General features: G+C 42.1%; 1 protein-coding gene across 2 annotated transcripts in view, besides 2 other annotated features; it reads left to right on the forward strand.

Annotated features, from left to right (window-relative positions):
- Positions 6 to 275: a silencer, noted in NCBI's record as "silent region_9236". NCBI's record gives its function as "represses an Ori minimal core promoter by ATAC-STARR-seq in GM12878 lymphoblastoid cells {active_cell/tissue: GM12878}" and the evidence as "EXISTENCE:reporter gene assay evidence [ECO:0000049][PMID:35858748]".
- Positions 334 to 15134, forward strand: part of USP14 (ubiquitin specific peptidase 14) — a 56073-nt gene continuing 41272 nt past the window's right edge. For both annotated transcript variants that reach the window (NM_005151.4, NM_001037334.2), the window contains exons 1-3: positions 334 to 491; positions 5085 to 5230; positions 8564 to 8596. In NM_005151.4, coding sequence (NP_005142.1) covers positions 476 to 491; positions 5085 to 5230; positions 8564 to 8596 — 195 coding nt within the window. In that variant the 5' untranslated portion in view covers positions 334 to 475. The remainder of the gene's footprint in view (positions 492 to 5084; positions 5231 to 8563; positions 8597 to 15134) is intronic.
- Positions 546 to 725: a silencer, noted in NCBI's record as "silent region_9237". NCBI's record gives its function as "represses an Ori minimal core promoter by ATAC-STARR-seq in GM12878 lymphoblastoid cells {active_cell/tissue: GM12878}" and the evidence as "EXISTENCE:reporter gene assay evidence [ECO:0000049][PMID:35858748]".

The following is a 15134-nucleotide window of genomic DNA, read 5'->3' on the forward strand; positions in this document are numbered from 1 at the left end:
TCTCCCGCCTCAGCCTCAGACAGCAGGTGGGATACCAAGTTCCCACTTCATCTGCCGCAGGGCTGGGCCGCGCCAGGACCACGTGGCCAGTGCGCGCAGGGCGATGGGCGGCAGTGCGCAGGCGCGCACCTGCTGCGGTGGATGGGGCCCCGCGCCCGTCCCTCACTTGCTCCCTCCTTCCTTCCCGCCACCCCTCCACCGCCTTCCCCCTCCTCCCTCCTCTCGCCACCTCTAGGCCCCGCCCCGGTCCTGCCGCCCAGTCTCCTCGCTGCAGTCGCTCCGGAGCTGCACGGGTGTTTTGCGTGTTGCTGCGTCATCGCCAGTGGCCGGTTTGAATGAGACTCGTCGCACCGAAGCCGCCGCCACCACCGCGCCTCCGCCTCGGCCGCCGCCGCAGCTGCTCCTGGTCCCCGTCCCTTTGCCGCCCTCGTCAGGCCCAGCTCTCCTGCGCCGCCGCCTCCCGCCGCGCCCCGCCATGCCGCTCTACTCCGGTGAGCCCTGTCCTGGCCTCGCGCGCAGCACACCGGACCGGCGCTAGGCCTCCGCGTAGGCCTGGCCTGCACGGGCGGGCACCCGGCATGGACTGGGAGGGGCCGGGGTGGGGTGCGCGGGGCCGGCGGCGCGGAGATGACCCAGGCACCGTCCCCTCTCCCGGCTGGGTCGGAGCCCTGCGTGGCAGGGGAGCGCCGTCCCCCTGAGCCACCGATGGGTGGGGGGAGTGGAGATGGGGAAGCCTCTCAAAGTCGTGACTCTGCAGAATAGTTTCTGACGCTGCCCTGGTGTGCGGTGAAAGTGAGGGTGTGTCCTGGGGCGCTGGGCCAGGCTGGAGGTGCAGGGAGATTCCTTTGGGCTTCTCAGTGGTCGCCGTGGAAGGGAGCGGGGAAGAAGGGGAGGGATGGAGCGACCCTTCTTGGGGTTGCCAAGCGGCGTTCGCCGCCCTTCGTCGTCCTTCGCCCTTCTCTTGCCCCTTGCCTTTGTTCGACCGCCCCTTTGGTACCAGTTTTAGTTTTGTCCCGAGGCAGATTGTAAACCTTTTTGCTTCGTTTTCGTTTCATCAAACGTTGCATTGGATTTCTGTATCCGAAACGTGGTGTGAGCTTTCAGAAGTAGATGAATACACATATCCCCGGGGTGTCATTTCTTGATTGGCGTTTGACAGGGGCTTGTATTGTTTGCTTGCTGACAGTCCAGGGTACTGGCCAGGGATCACTTTTACTTAGGGAATGGACCTTGCTGCTCCCTAGCCTTATTCAAAATGGCACCTAAAATATGTGTGGTGTCTCCAATTGGCTGTAGGTGTGTGATTCGTTGACCATCCCTGTTTATTCTGTTACAGTTCCTTTATTGAAGATTCAGCATTTACAAAGCATGATACGAATCAAGAGTATTGTTTGATCTCAAGGTGGATTCTTGATGGTCTAGAATCTTGAATCGAATTCTTAATGATTGCCCAACCCCTTTCTAAAGCCATAACAACAGTAGAATGGCTCTTGAAATATTCTAATACTTAAACACACCAGTAGATTCACACACATAAAACAAAACCCCTCTGTTTCCTCAAAATGCCAGCGCTGACCAGAGTTTCTTTTTTAAAATTTGAGCTTTATCTTAAATATTTAATCAGATCTTTTCCTCATCCCCCAAATGAAGGAACTCAAGTAGATTTCTAAGGTCCCTTCCTTTGACCTCTCCATATTGAGAATCTGTATTTTGAGGGTCAGCAAAAAGCTCTATATTAAAATGAAGAGAACATTTTAAGTACTATTTCATAAGATTTAGTAGAAAATTAAGTATCTAGTCTGAGCGCGGTGGCTCACGCCTGTAATCCCAGCTCTTTGGGAGGCTCGAGGCGGGCGGATCACTTGAGGTCAGGAGTTCGAGACCGCCTGGCCAACATGTTGAAACCCTGTCTCTACTAAAAATACAAAAAATCAGTCGAGAGTGGTGGCAGGTGCCGGTAATCCCAGCTACTGGGGAGGCTGAGGCAGGAGAATCGCTTGAACCTGTGAAGCGGAGGTTGTAGTGAGCCAAGATCGCGCCATTGCACTTCAGTCTGGGTGAAAAAAGCGAAACTGGGTCTCAAGAAAAGAAAAAAAGAAAATTACATATCTAGATTATTAAATGGTTAAGGATAAGTGCAGTTAAAAATTAAAGCCAGGGGCCATGATGTATGCTTTTAATCCCAGCTACTCGGGAAGCTGAGTTGGGAGGATCACTTGAGCCAAGGAGTTAGAGGGTGCTGTGATCTGTGATCACGCCACTGCACTCCAGCCTGGGTGACAGAGCAAGACCCCCGTCTCTAAAAATAAACACACACCTGTGCCTCTTATAGAGTTAGGGTTTTGTACATATTGCTTTGTTTTAATCTTCAACGTAATCCTGTGATACTGGTATAATTCCTCTTGTAAGCATGAGCAAAAAGTTTTAAGTAACTTGCTCATGGCAATAGCACAATAAATTTCAGGTAGGTTCCTCTCCTTTACTTCTAGTACTGTTTTGGTTTAATCCTGTAGCATCTTTAGCTTGTACTATTGTAATATGCTTCTAGTTTATTTTAGTGATTACAGTATGCCTTCTTCAAGCCTGATTTCTCTGCTGCTGCAAGTGATCTAATAGTATTCAAACCAGACTAAAGTGGCCTTTATGACAGCCTTTCAGGAATTACACATTGCCTACAACATAAAGCCTTTACGTATTTTATTTTATTTTTTTTTATTTTTTGAGACCAAGTTTTGCTCTTGTTGCCCAGTCTGGAGTGCAATGGCGCGATGTTGGCTCACTGCGACCTCCACCTCCTGGTTTCAAGCGATTCTCCTGCCTCAGTCTCGCGAGTAGCTGGAATTACAGGCGCCTGCCACCATGCCTAGCTCATTTTTGTATTTTTAGTAGAAACGAGGTTTCACCGTATTGGCCAGGCTGGTCTCAAACCCCTGACCTCAGGTGATCCACCTGCCTTGGCCTTCCAAAGTGCTGGGATTACAGGCATGAGCCACCATTCCCGGCCTCTTTATGTATGATTTAGGATGACTTATCTTCCATAATTTGATCCTTAGCCAGCTTCCAGTTTCATCTACTGCTGCTTTCCCTTCACTCTGGTAATTAATTACTTACATCTTAGAACACACCATGCTGCTTTATGCTGTGGAATGTTTTCCTTCTTTTCTGGGAATTCTTCTGTCCTCTCCTAGTCTCTGACTAACACCTAATCTTTTCTTGAGATTCAAAATTGATAGTGATAACTCAGAAGTTAACACTTCATCCAGGAAATCTTTCCTCATTTATGAAGCATTCCACTTTGTTGCTGTAGCCTTTGTAATACTTACATAGTTAATTACTCTAGCCTCCTCCCACCCCCCCATTAGGCTGTAAGTTTATGGAGAGTCTTCCCAATGCTTTGTACCGGGCTTGTCATTAAATGAATACTCAACATATTAATTGAACTGATGATAGAGTTGGGATTTGGTGTCTGAGTGAGGTTTTCAAATTCTGATTTCAGGAGTTGGAAAGCAATTAACAGTTGTGAGGTTCTTATTTTTGAGAAGGTATAAAATTTTCAGTGGAAACAATATATATCCTTGGGTTTTAAAAATATATATTTCAAAAGTTAGCTATTTTATGAGGCTGATTGAAATTTTTTATTGTGGTAAAATATATGTAATAAAGTTTACCATTTTAATGATTTTTACGTATACAGTTCTATAGCATTAAATATATTCACAGTGTTTTGTAACTGTCACCTTCATTCACATCCTCTTGCAAACACCATTCTCTTTTTGTATGTATGAATTTGACCACTTTAGGTATCTCATATAACCAGAATCATCCATGTTGCAGCATGTATAAGAGTTTCTTTCCTTTTTAAGGTTGAATAATATTCCGTTGTATGTATATACCACATTTTCTTTGTCCATTAATTGGTTGATGGACACTTGAGTTGCTCCCACTTTTTCGGCTGTTGTGAATAATGCTGCTGTAAACATGGGTGTACAAATATCTGTTTGAGTCCTTGCTTTCTGATCTTCTGGGTATACCCAGAAATGAAATTGCTGGATCATATGGTAATTCTATGTTTACTTTTATTCCCCCCAGCAGTGTACAAGTGTTCCAGTTTCTCCACATCTTTGCTAACACTTGTTATTTTCTGTTAAATTTTAAAAAGAATAGCCATTCTAATGGCTGTGAAGTGGGATTTCTATATATTTTTAAATGATTTAGATATGTCTTTGGATTTTTTCTTAATTGAGCACCTCTTGTTCAGAAATGACACTTTTCAATTCTCCCAGATTTCTTATGACTCAGAATCTGTATTCCTTAAGTTGTTCTAGATGTGCTTTATTCTCCCAGGAATTTTTCTTCTTCTCTTAAACTATCTAACCTTTCTCTCTCTCTCTTCTTTTCCAATGCTGTGTGCTGATGTGAATGATTCTTCAATTAAACACATGGGGGCTGCGAAACTTATCATTTTGGGAAATATTTCAATATGATCATATTGTTGGAGTAGGATTCAGAAGACTTGGGAGTTTATTAACCAATTTTATGACATTAGCAAATCAATCTACTTCTCTGAAGTCTCAGTTTCTTTTTTTTTTTTTGAGATGGAGTCTCGCACTGTCGCCCAGGCTGGAGTGCAGTGGCGTGATCTTGGCTCACTGCAACCTTCGCCTCCCGGGTTCAAGCGATTCTCCTGTCTCAGCCTCCTGAGTAGCTGGGATTACAGGCGTGCGCCACCACACCTGGCTAATTTTTGTATTTTTATTAGAGACAGGCTGGTCTCGAACTCCTGACCTCATGATCCGCCCGCCTCGACCTCCCAAAGTACTGGGATTACAGGCGTGAGCCACCACGCCCAGCCTGCTGAAGTCTCAGTTTCTTTAACTATGAAATGAGAAGTTAGGTTTGATCCAGTGAAATTTTATTCAGCACCTACTGCATGCATGCTCCTCTTGATTAGGTAAGTGTTATGGGCATAGAAAGATGAATGACATGTTTTGACTCCCGATAACTGCCTAATTGGTGATCTTCTAAGGGTCTGTAAATCTTGTCTTGTTATTTTTTAATTAAAAAAATTGTGATTTTGTTTGCAGTTACTGTAAAATGGGGAAAGGAGAAATTTGAAGGTGTAGAATTGAATACAGATGAACCTCCAATGGTATTCAAGGCTCAGCTGTTTGCGTTGACTGGAGTCCAGCCTGCCAGACAGAAAGTTATGGTGAAAGGAGGAACGCTAAAGGTAAAATGTAGTCCAAATTTTCATCACATTACTATTATTGTATACTTTTTGAAAAATAACGCCAGAAAATTATTTAATTTTAATGTAGCATTTGAAGTGCTTTTTTTATATGATGAGAGTATGTCAGCTATGGTGTTAAAACTGTCTTATGCCTGTTAGAGTAAGGGAGAAATATTGTAGCTGTTTGACAACACTATATGGTATTATAAAAACATCGTTTTAAAACTCTTTTTACTTTTGTTTATTTTTAACTTTTAGGTTCTGAGATACATATGCAGGTTTGTTATATAGGTAAACTTGTGTCACAGGGTTTCAATGTACGGATTTCATCACCCAGGTACTAAGCATAGTACCCGATAGGTAGTTTTTTTTTTTTTTTAGATCCTCTTCCTCCTCCCACTCTCCACCCTCAAGTAAGTTCCAGTGTCTTTTGTTCCTGTCTATGTGTCTATGTGTTCTCATTATTTAGCTCCCACTTACAAAAGAGAACATGCAGTTTGCTTTTCTGTTCCTGCATTAGTTTACTAGGGAACTAGCAGGTAATGATCTCCAGCTCCATCCATGTTGCTGTAAAGGACATGACTTTGTTCTAAAAGCATCATTTAAATTTTATTTTAAAATGTGTTGTATTACCAGATACCTCTGTGGGTCAGGAGAGTGGAACACTTTACAGTTATCTGTATTGTGTGAATTTTTTTTCCTATGAGGATGTATTAAAAGTATTAGTTTTATTTTGTTTAGACTAAAATGAAACCAATTAATATTTCCTTAGTAATTTTCTGTAATGAGGTTGGAAAATTTTATCTCAGTTTAAAAATGTGGAACAATACAGATAGGTTTGTTTTCTTAAAAAAACTACTACAGAATGTAATTTTGTACATGCATTTGTATGTTGAAATTCAAAGCACTTCAGCATTTTTACCAAAGCCCTGGTTCTGGAAAACTGTTCATTTTTTTTTTTTGGCCTTTATTGCATCCTACCCATTAACGAAGAGCTGTTTTTCTTTTTCTTTTTTTTTGAGACGAGTCTTGCCCTGTTGCCCATGCTGGAGTGCAGTGGTGCTATCTTGGCTCACTGCAACCTCCGCCTCCTGGGTTCAAGCGATTCTTATGCCTCAGCCTCCTGAGTAGCTGGGATTACAGGTGTCTACCACCATGCCCGGCTAATTTTTGTATTTTTAGTAGAGATGGGGTTTCACCATGTTGGCCAGTTTGGTCTTGAACTCCTGACCTCAAGTGATCTGCCCACCTTGGCCTCCCAGAGAGCTGGGATTACAGGCGTGAGCCACTGCACCCAGCCCCCTTTTTTCTAAACAGTAATTGTTACCTAACTCCTACCTGGAGATGGGAGGAAAAAATTTTTGTTTAAAAAGAGAAGAAACCTAATTTTTGTCTTTACTTCCTTTGGAATGATCTCAGTGACCACAGTTAAGAATCCATCCCTGCCAGCATCATTGATGAAGGACTGCAGAAAAGACAAGAAGATATCTATTATTATTATTATTTTTTTTGGGATTGAGTCTCCCTCTGTCACTCAGGGGCTGGAGTGCAGTGGCGCCATCTCGGCTAACTGCAACCACCGCCTCCCGGGCTCAAGTGACTGTCCTGCCTCAGTCTCCCGAATAGCTGGGATAACAGGTCACCACCACCATGCGTGACAAATGTTTGTATTTTTGGTAGAGACAGTGTTTCACCATGTTGGCGCTGGTCTCGAACTCCTGACCTCAAGTGATATGCCTGCCTCGGGCCTCCCAAAGTGCTGGGATTACAGGCGTGAGCCACCACACCCGGCCTCTATTATTTTTAATAATATAAGTATAGCTTTAAAAAATACTTCCTTCAAGGGTTAGATAAAATGCTAAAGATCTATAGTTAACTTTAGAGATAAAGACAGGCTACCCCCACTGGGCAGTAAAACACACGTTGGAGGAAAATCTTTGTTTACCCCCGAAGGTACAGTATGAACCTTTGGCCTTTAGTGAACTTCATAGCCTAATCTATGCTGAACACTGTACTAGTGGTATGCTGTCGAGAATTATAGAAGTATGCGAATTAAATGAAACTGTGACTGCTAATGGTTACCATTTATTGAGTACTTATTTTATGTCAGGCTTTTATTATATTTTCTTTAATTCTCAGCTGTATGTTATCCATATCTTATATATGAGGAAATTTTATAAATGAGTGTCAAAGAGGTTTAAGTAACATAGTAAGGCACCAAAAGAGCATATGATTTATACATCAAGCAGATCTGTGTTCACTTCCCAGTTTTGTGTGACCTTGGGTAAGTGATCTTAGGGGGCATTTATAGTTATCATTCATTATGTTTAGCAGTCATAGACCTTAAATTGAGAAGGGCCTTTAGGAAGTTACCGTTCCATTTTAAAGCAGATAAAAGAGATAATTAGTGGCACCAATGAAGGGTAGACAAGCATATTGGGTACCCGATACCTTCTATAAAAGGGAGTAATATAGAATCGACTTTATCCTATGAGGGGAAAGGCCTAGCTGTAGTTAGTAAAAATATTACTCTGGACTAATCATGCATTTAAAAAAAAAATTCTTGATTTTTATTCAACATATTGAAAGGAAAGTATATACTTGCTTTATAGATGCGTTATAGACATTAACTCTTCATTCTTGCCACGTAAGCTTGTTATTTATTAGCTCTGCTGGTTCCAAACATCCAAAAAATAGGATCTATCATTTGTCATTAGTCAAGTGTTTTTTAGTACTTGCTAAAAGTATTTTTTTATACTTATGTGTTTTTTAGTATTTGATGCTGTAAATACAGGTTACTGCCTTTTGTATTGTGTTACCTTATGCAGTTGAAGCAAATTATTTGAAACCCTGGCTTTAGTACCACTTGTGTTTAAAAAAAATTTTTGTTTTTTTTTGAGATGGAGCCTTGTTCTGTTGCCCAGGCTGGAGTGCAGTGGTGAGATCTCGGCTCACTGTAACCTCTGCCTCCTGGGTTCAAGCAATTATCTTGTCTCAGCCTCCCGAGTAGCTGGAATTACAGGTGTGCACCACCATGCTCAGCTACTTTTTGTATTTTTAGTAGAGATGGAGTTTCTTTATATTGGTCCGGCTGGTTTCGAACTCCTGACCGCAGGTGATTTGCCTGCCTCAGCCTCCCAAAGTGCTGGGATTACAGGCGTGAGCCACTGTGCCTGGCCAAAAAAAATTTTTTTAATTGCCATAATTTTAAATAAAATCTGCATATAGGATAAATTTTATTCTGTTTTGAAGTACATTAAAATAAATTGATTATTAGATTGTGTTCAGCTTGTACAGTGGTGGTTAAATGTCTTTTGTTTGTCTTTGAAACAGGATGATGATTGGGGAAACATCAAAATAAAAAATGTAAGTATTATCTTATGAACGTTTATTATAATGCAGTAACCTCATTATGATACCAAAATACATTCCAGATGACTTTTTTTCATGTGTATATCCAGTTGTTCCAGCACTATCTGTTGAAAATACTTACCTTTTCCCATTGACTTGTGTTGGGCTCTTTCTTGAAAAGTAGTTATAGGTTTGTTTTTGGGTTTTTGTTTCATTGATCTAGTAGATTAAAGTTACACTAGTACCAAATGGTTTTGATTACTAAAGCTTTATAATAAAAGCCTTGAAAAAAAAATTAGCTGGGTGTGGTGGTGCACGCCTGTAATCCTAGCTACTCGGGAGGCTGAGGTGGGAGGCTGAGGCGGGAGGCAGAGGCAGGAGGCAGGAGAATCACTTGAACCTGGGAGGCGGAGATTGCAGTGAGCCGAGATCGTGCCACTGCACTCCAGCCTGGCAACAGAGCGAGACTCCGTCTCCAAAAAAAGAGTCTTGAAATAAGATAGTATATGTTCTTATGCTCTCCAACTTTCTCCTCTTTGAGATTTTGTTTGAGATTACATTGAATCTGTAGCTCAATTTGGGGAGAATAAACATCTTAACAATATTGAGTATTAAAATCCCTGAATATGATGTACTTCCTTATTTATTTAGGTCTCTGTTTTTCTCTTAGCAGAGTTGTAGTTTTTAAACATAGAGGTTTTGCATGAGTGGTTTTTTTTTTGAGACAGGGTCTCACTCTCACGTATGCCGGAGCACAGTGGCATGGTCATGGCTCGCTGCAGCTTTAAACTCCCAGCCTCAAGCAGTCCTTCCATCTCAGCCTTCCAAGTAGCTGGGACCACAGGCGGGTGTTACCATGCCCAGTTAATTAATTAATTTTAATTATTTTTTGTAGAGATGGGGGTGTCACTATGTTGCCCAGGCTGGTCTTGAACTCCAGGGCTCAAGCGATCCTCCTGCCTTGGCCTCCCAAAGTGCTGGGATTAACAGGTGTGAGTCACTGTGCCCAGCCCTTGCATGACTTCTCTTAAATTATTGGAACTTAACATTTGTTCGCTGCTTAAAATAATATTAAAAAATATTTCCAGTGTTCATGGCTAGAATGTAAAAATACAATTGATTTTTCTCTCTTTTTTTTTTTTTTTTTTTTGAGACAGAGTCTCACTCTTATTGCCCAGGCTAGAGTGCAATGGCGCGATCTCGGCTCGCTGCAACCTCTGCCTCCCGGGTTAAAGCAATTCTCTTGCCTGAGCTGGGATTACAGGCGCCCACCACCACGCCCAGCTAACTTTTGTATTTTTAGTAGAGATGGGGTTTCTCCATGTTGGTCAGGCTGGTCTCGAACTCCCGACCTCAGGTGATCCGCCCACCTTGGCCTCCCAGAGTGCTAGGATTACAGGCGTGAGCCACCGCACCCGGCCAAAATACAGTTGATTTTTCTAAGTTTATTTTCATTCTTTATTCTTGTAAGCAATTCACTTACTAATTCCAGTTGTGTTTTGGGCAGATTCCATTGGGTTTTCTGTGTACATAAACGTGTTATCTGCAAATAATGACAATTTTACTTCTCCCTTTTCAATATTCGTGACTTTCAGATTTCTTAAACTTTATTGACATATAATTGATAAGCAAATGACTTCTTTTTTTTGAGACAGAGTCTTGCTTTGTCGCCCAGGCTGGAGTGTGGTGGTGTGATCTTGGCTCACTGCATTATTTGCCTCCTGGGTTCATGTGATTCTCCTGCCTCAACCTCCTGAGTAGTTGGGATTACAAACGCCTACCACCATGCCTGGCTAATTTTTGTATTTTTGGTAGAGACAGGGTTTCGCAACGTTGGCCAGGCTGGTCTCGAACTCCTGACCTCAAGTGATCTGCCTGCCTTGATCTCCCAAAGTGCTGGAATTACAGGCGTGAGCCACTGTGCCAGGCCTTGTCCTACTTTTTAATAGGACTTCTAATACAGTGTTAATAGAAAGTGATAAGAGTGGCCGGGCGCGGTGGCTCACGCCTGTAATCCCAGCACTTTGGGAGGCCGAGGCGGGTGGATCACGAAGTCGGAGATCGAGACCATCCTGGCTAACATGGTGAAACTCCGTCTCTACTAAAAAAAAAATACAAAACAATTAGCCGTGCATGGTGGCAGGTGCCTGTAGTCCCAGCTACTCAGGAGGCTGAGGCAGGAGAATGGCATGAGCCTGGGAGGCAGAGGTTGCAGTGAGCTGAAATTGTGCCACTGTACTCTAGCCTGGGCAACAGAGCGAGACTCCATCTCAAAAAAAAAAAAGTGATAAGAGTGGACATCTTGGCTGGGTGTGGTGGCTCACACCTGTAATCCCAGCACTTTGGGAGGCCAAGGATGGTGGATCACTTAAGGTCAGGAGTTCGAGACCAGCCTGGCCAACATGGTGAAACCCCGTCTCTATTAAAAATACAAAAATTAGCCGAGTGTCATGGTGCACGCCAAGAGAATTGCTTGACTTTGGGAGGCGGAGGTTGCAGTGAGCTGAGATCACACCACTGCACTCCAACCTGGGCAACAGAGCAAGACTCTACCTCAAAAAAAAAAAAAAAAAAAAAAGAGTGGACATCTTGTCTTATTCTAGTTCACTACAACTTAAAATTATGAAAGACCGTTACATTTTGTTAAGTGTTTTTTCTGTTTGTTAAAATGATGGTGTGATTTTTTTTTCTTTTTTTCTGTTGGTAGTGTGGTTAATCTCATTGATTTTTAACTTAAACCGTGCATTTCTGGGATGTGCAGTTCTCAAATTTCTTGGTTTTGTGACCCTTTTGCCCTCTTAAATATTATGATTGACCCCAGAGTTTCATATAAAGGCACACCTCATTTTATTGTGCTTCACAGATAATTGTGATTTTTATAAGTTGAAGGTTTGTGGCCACCTTGCATCGAGCAAGTTTATAGGCACCATTTTTCCAGCAGCCTATGTTCACTTCATGTCTCTTTGTCACATTTTGGTGATTCTTGCAATATTTGAAACATTTTCATTACTCTCATGTCAAGTATGTTGATCTTTGATGTTACTTTTGTAATTGTTTTGGGGTGTCATGAATCACACCTGTAAGATGGCAAACTTAATCGACAAATGTGTCTTCTGACAGCCTCACCGACCCGCAGTTCCCTCCTCCCTCTTCTCGAGCCTCCCTATTCCCTGAGACAAGACAGTATTGAAATTAGGCCAATTAATAACCCTACAGGCTGAGCGCGGTGGCTCACACCTGTAATCCTAGCACTTTGGGAGGCTGAGGCGGGTGGATTCCTGAGTTCAGGAGTTCAAGATCAGCCTGGCCAATATGGTGAAACCCCATCTCCACTAAATAAAAATAGAAAAATAGCCGGGCGTAGTGGCACATGCCTGTAATCCCAGCTATTCGGGAGGCTGAGGCAGGAGAATTGCTTGAGCCTGGGAGATGGAGGTTGCAGTGAGCTGAGATCATGCCACTGCACTCCAGCCTGGCCAACAGAGCGAGACTCTGTCTCAAAAATAAACAAATAAATAAATAAATAAATAACCCTACAGTGACCTCTAAGTGTTCAAGAGAAAGGAAGAGTTTCATGTCTTTTACTTTCAACAGAAAGCTAGAAATGATTAAGCTTAGTAAAGAAGGCCTGTGTAAAGCCAAGACAGTCCAAAAGCTAGGCATTTTGCAGCAGTTAACCAAGTTGTGAATACAAAGGTCCAGTTTTCAAAGGAAATTTATAATTTAAAAGATAAGTTCTTGAAGTGTTACTGCAATGAACACACAAGTGATAAAGCAAAGCAGCCTTATTGCTGATATGGAGTAAGTTTAAGTGGTGTGGATAGAAGATCAAACTAGCCACAACATTTTCTTAAGTCAAAACCTAACCAGAGCAAGACCCTAATTCTCTTTAATTCTGTGAAGGCTGAGAGAGGTGAGGAAGCTACATTGTCCTCATCAGACTAACACAGGAACAGAAAACCGAACACCGCATGTTGTCACTTGTAAGTGGGAGCCGAGCAATGAGAATACATGGACACAGGGAGGAGAACAGCACACACGGGGGCCTGTCAGGCAGTGGGATGTGGGGAGAGCATCAGGATAAATAGCTAATGCATGCTGGGCTTAATACCTAGGTGATGGGTCTATAGGTGCAGCAAACCACCATGACACAATGTTTACCTGTGTAACAAGCATGCACATCCTGGACATGTACCCTGGAACTTAAAAAAAAAAAAAAAAATATATATATATATATATATATATATATATAAACTGAAGCTAGCAGAAGTTGGTTCACGAGGTTTAAAGAAAGAAGCAATCTCTGTAACATAAAAGTGCAAGGTGAAACAGTAAGTGCTGATGGAGAAGCTGCAGTAAGTTATCCAGAAGATCTAGCTAAGATTGTTGATGAAGGTAGCTACACTATACAACAGATTTTCAGTGTGGATGAAGCAGCCTGATATTGGAAAAAGATGCTGTCTAAGCCTTTCATAGCTAGAGAGGAGAAGTCAGTGCCTGGGTTCAAAGGCCAGACTGACTGTCTTGTTAGAGGCTAATGTAGCTAATGACTTTAAGTTGAAACCAATGCTCGTTTACCATTCCAAAAACCATGGATCTCTTAAGAATGATGCTAAATCTACTCTGCCTGTGCTCTGTATATGGAACAACAAAGCCCAGATGCCAGTACGTCTGTTTATAGTATGGAGTACTGAATATTTTAAGGCCACCATTGAGACTTCCTGCTCAGAAAGATTCCTTTCAAAATATTACTGCTTATTGACAATGCATCTAGTCACTTAAGAGTTTTGAGAGACATAAACGAGATGAATGTTGTTTTCCTGTCTGCTACAACAACTATTCTGCAGCCCATGGATCAGTAATTTCTACTTTTATTATTTAAGAGATACATTTTGTAAGGCTAAAGTTTCCCTATAAAGTTATTTCTCCATGAATCTGGGCAAAATCAATTAAAAACCTTCTGGAAAGGATTCACCTGAATTCTTGATACCATTAGGAGCATTCATGGGAGGAAGTTAAAATGAAGTCAGTATTTACCAGGAGTTTGAAAGAAGTTGATTCTAACCCTCATGGATGACTTTGGGGAGTTCAAAACTTGAGTTGAGGATACAACTGCACATGTGGTGTAAATAGGAAGAAACTAGAATTAGAAGTGGCCAGGCATGGTGGCTCACTCCTATAATCCCAGCACTTTGGGAGTCTGAGACAGGAGGAGAGCTTCAGGCTGGGAGTTTGAGACCAGCCTGGGCAACACAGTGAGACCCTGTCTCTACAAAAAATAAAATTAGTTGGGCATGGTGGTGTATACCTGTAGTCCTAGCTACTCTGGAGACTGAGGCAGTAGGATCGCTTAAGCCTAGGAGTTTGAGGTTACAGTGAGCTATGATTGTGCCACTGCACTCCAATCTGAGTGACAGAGTGAGACCCTGTATCTAAAAAACGAAAAAGAATAGAAAAATGGAGCTTGAAATTGTGACTGAATTGCCACAATCTCATGATACAACTTGAACAGATGAGGAGGTAACTTATGGATGTGCAAAGAAAGTAATTTCTTGAGATAGACTCTACTCCTAGTGAAGAAGCTGTGAATGTTGTTGAAATGACAATAAAGGATTTAAAATATTACGTAGGCTTACTTGATAAAGCAGCAGCAGGATTTGAGAGGTTTGACTCCAGTTTCGAAAGAAGTCCTACTGTGGATAAAATGCTATTAAACAGCACCGCAAGCTACAGAGAACTCTTTCATGAAAGGAAGTCAGTCAGCGTGGCAGGTTTCATTGTTGTCTCATTTTAAGCAATTACCCAGCCTTCAGGAACCAGTGCCGTGATCAGTCAGTAGTCATCAACTTGGAAACAAGACCCCCCACCTGCAAGAAGATCATTAACTGAAGGCTTAGATGATTGTCAGCTTTTTTTTTTAAGCAATAAATTATTTTAAAATTAAGGTATGTGCATTCCTTTTTAGACATAATGCTGTTGCATACTTCACAGACTGATATAAACATGATGTTTGTATGCACTGGGGGAAAATTTTTGTGTGACTTGCTTTATTGCGATATTTGCTTTCTCATGCTCTGGAACCCAAACTGTAATATCTTCAAGGTATCCCTGTGTTTTAATCTATGTAATACTCTTTTGTTGGATAGAAGATAATTTTATCTAAGTCAGTTGATCACATTTTTTAGTGATTTGTACTATGTTGTAAGAAATCTTCGCCTGTGCCAAGTTTACAAGATTTTTTTTTTCTGTTTTCTTGTAAAGCTTGATAAGTTTTAGCTGTTACATTTAGATATATTGTCTGTCTTTTTTTTTTTTTTTCTTTGAGACGGAGTCTCACCCTGTTGCCCAGGCTGGAGTGCAGTGGCACGATCTCGGCTCACTGCAAGCTCCACCTCCTGGTTCACGCCATTCTCCTGCCTCAGCCTCCCGAGTAGCTGGGACTACAGGTGCCTGCCACCACACCCGGCTATTTTTTTTGTATTTTTTTTAGTAGAGACGGGGTTTCACCATGTTAGCCAGGATGGTCTCTATCTCCTGACCTCGTGATCAGCCC

The sequence above is a fragment of the Homo sapiens genome, chromosome 18, assembly GCF_000001405.40.
Source record: "Homo sapiens chromosome 18, GRCh38.p14 Primary Assembly".
Lineage (NCBI taxonomy): Eukaryota > Metazoa > Chordata > Mammalia > Primates > Hominidae > Homo > Homo sapiens.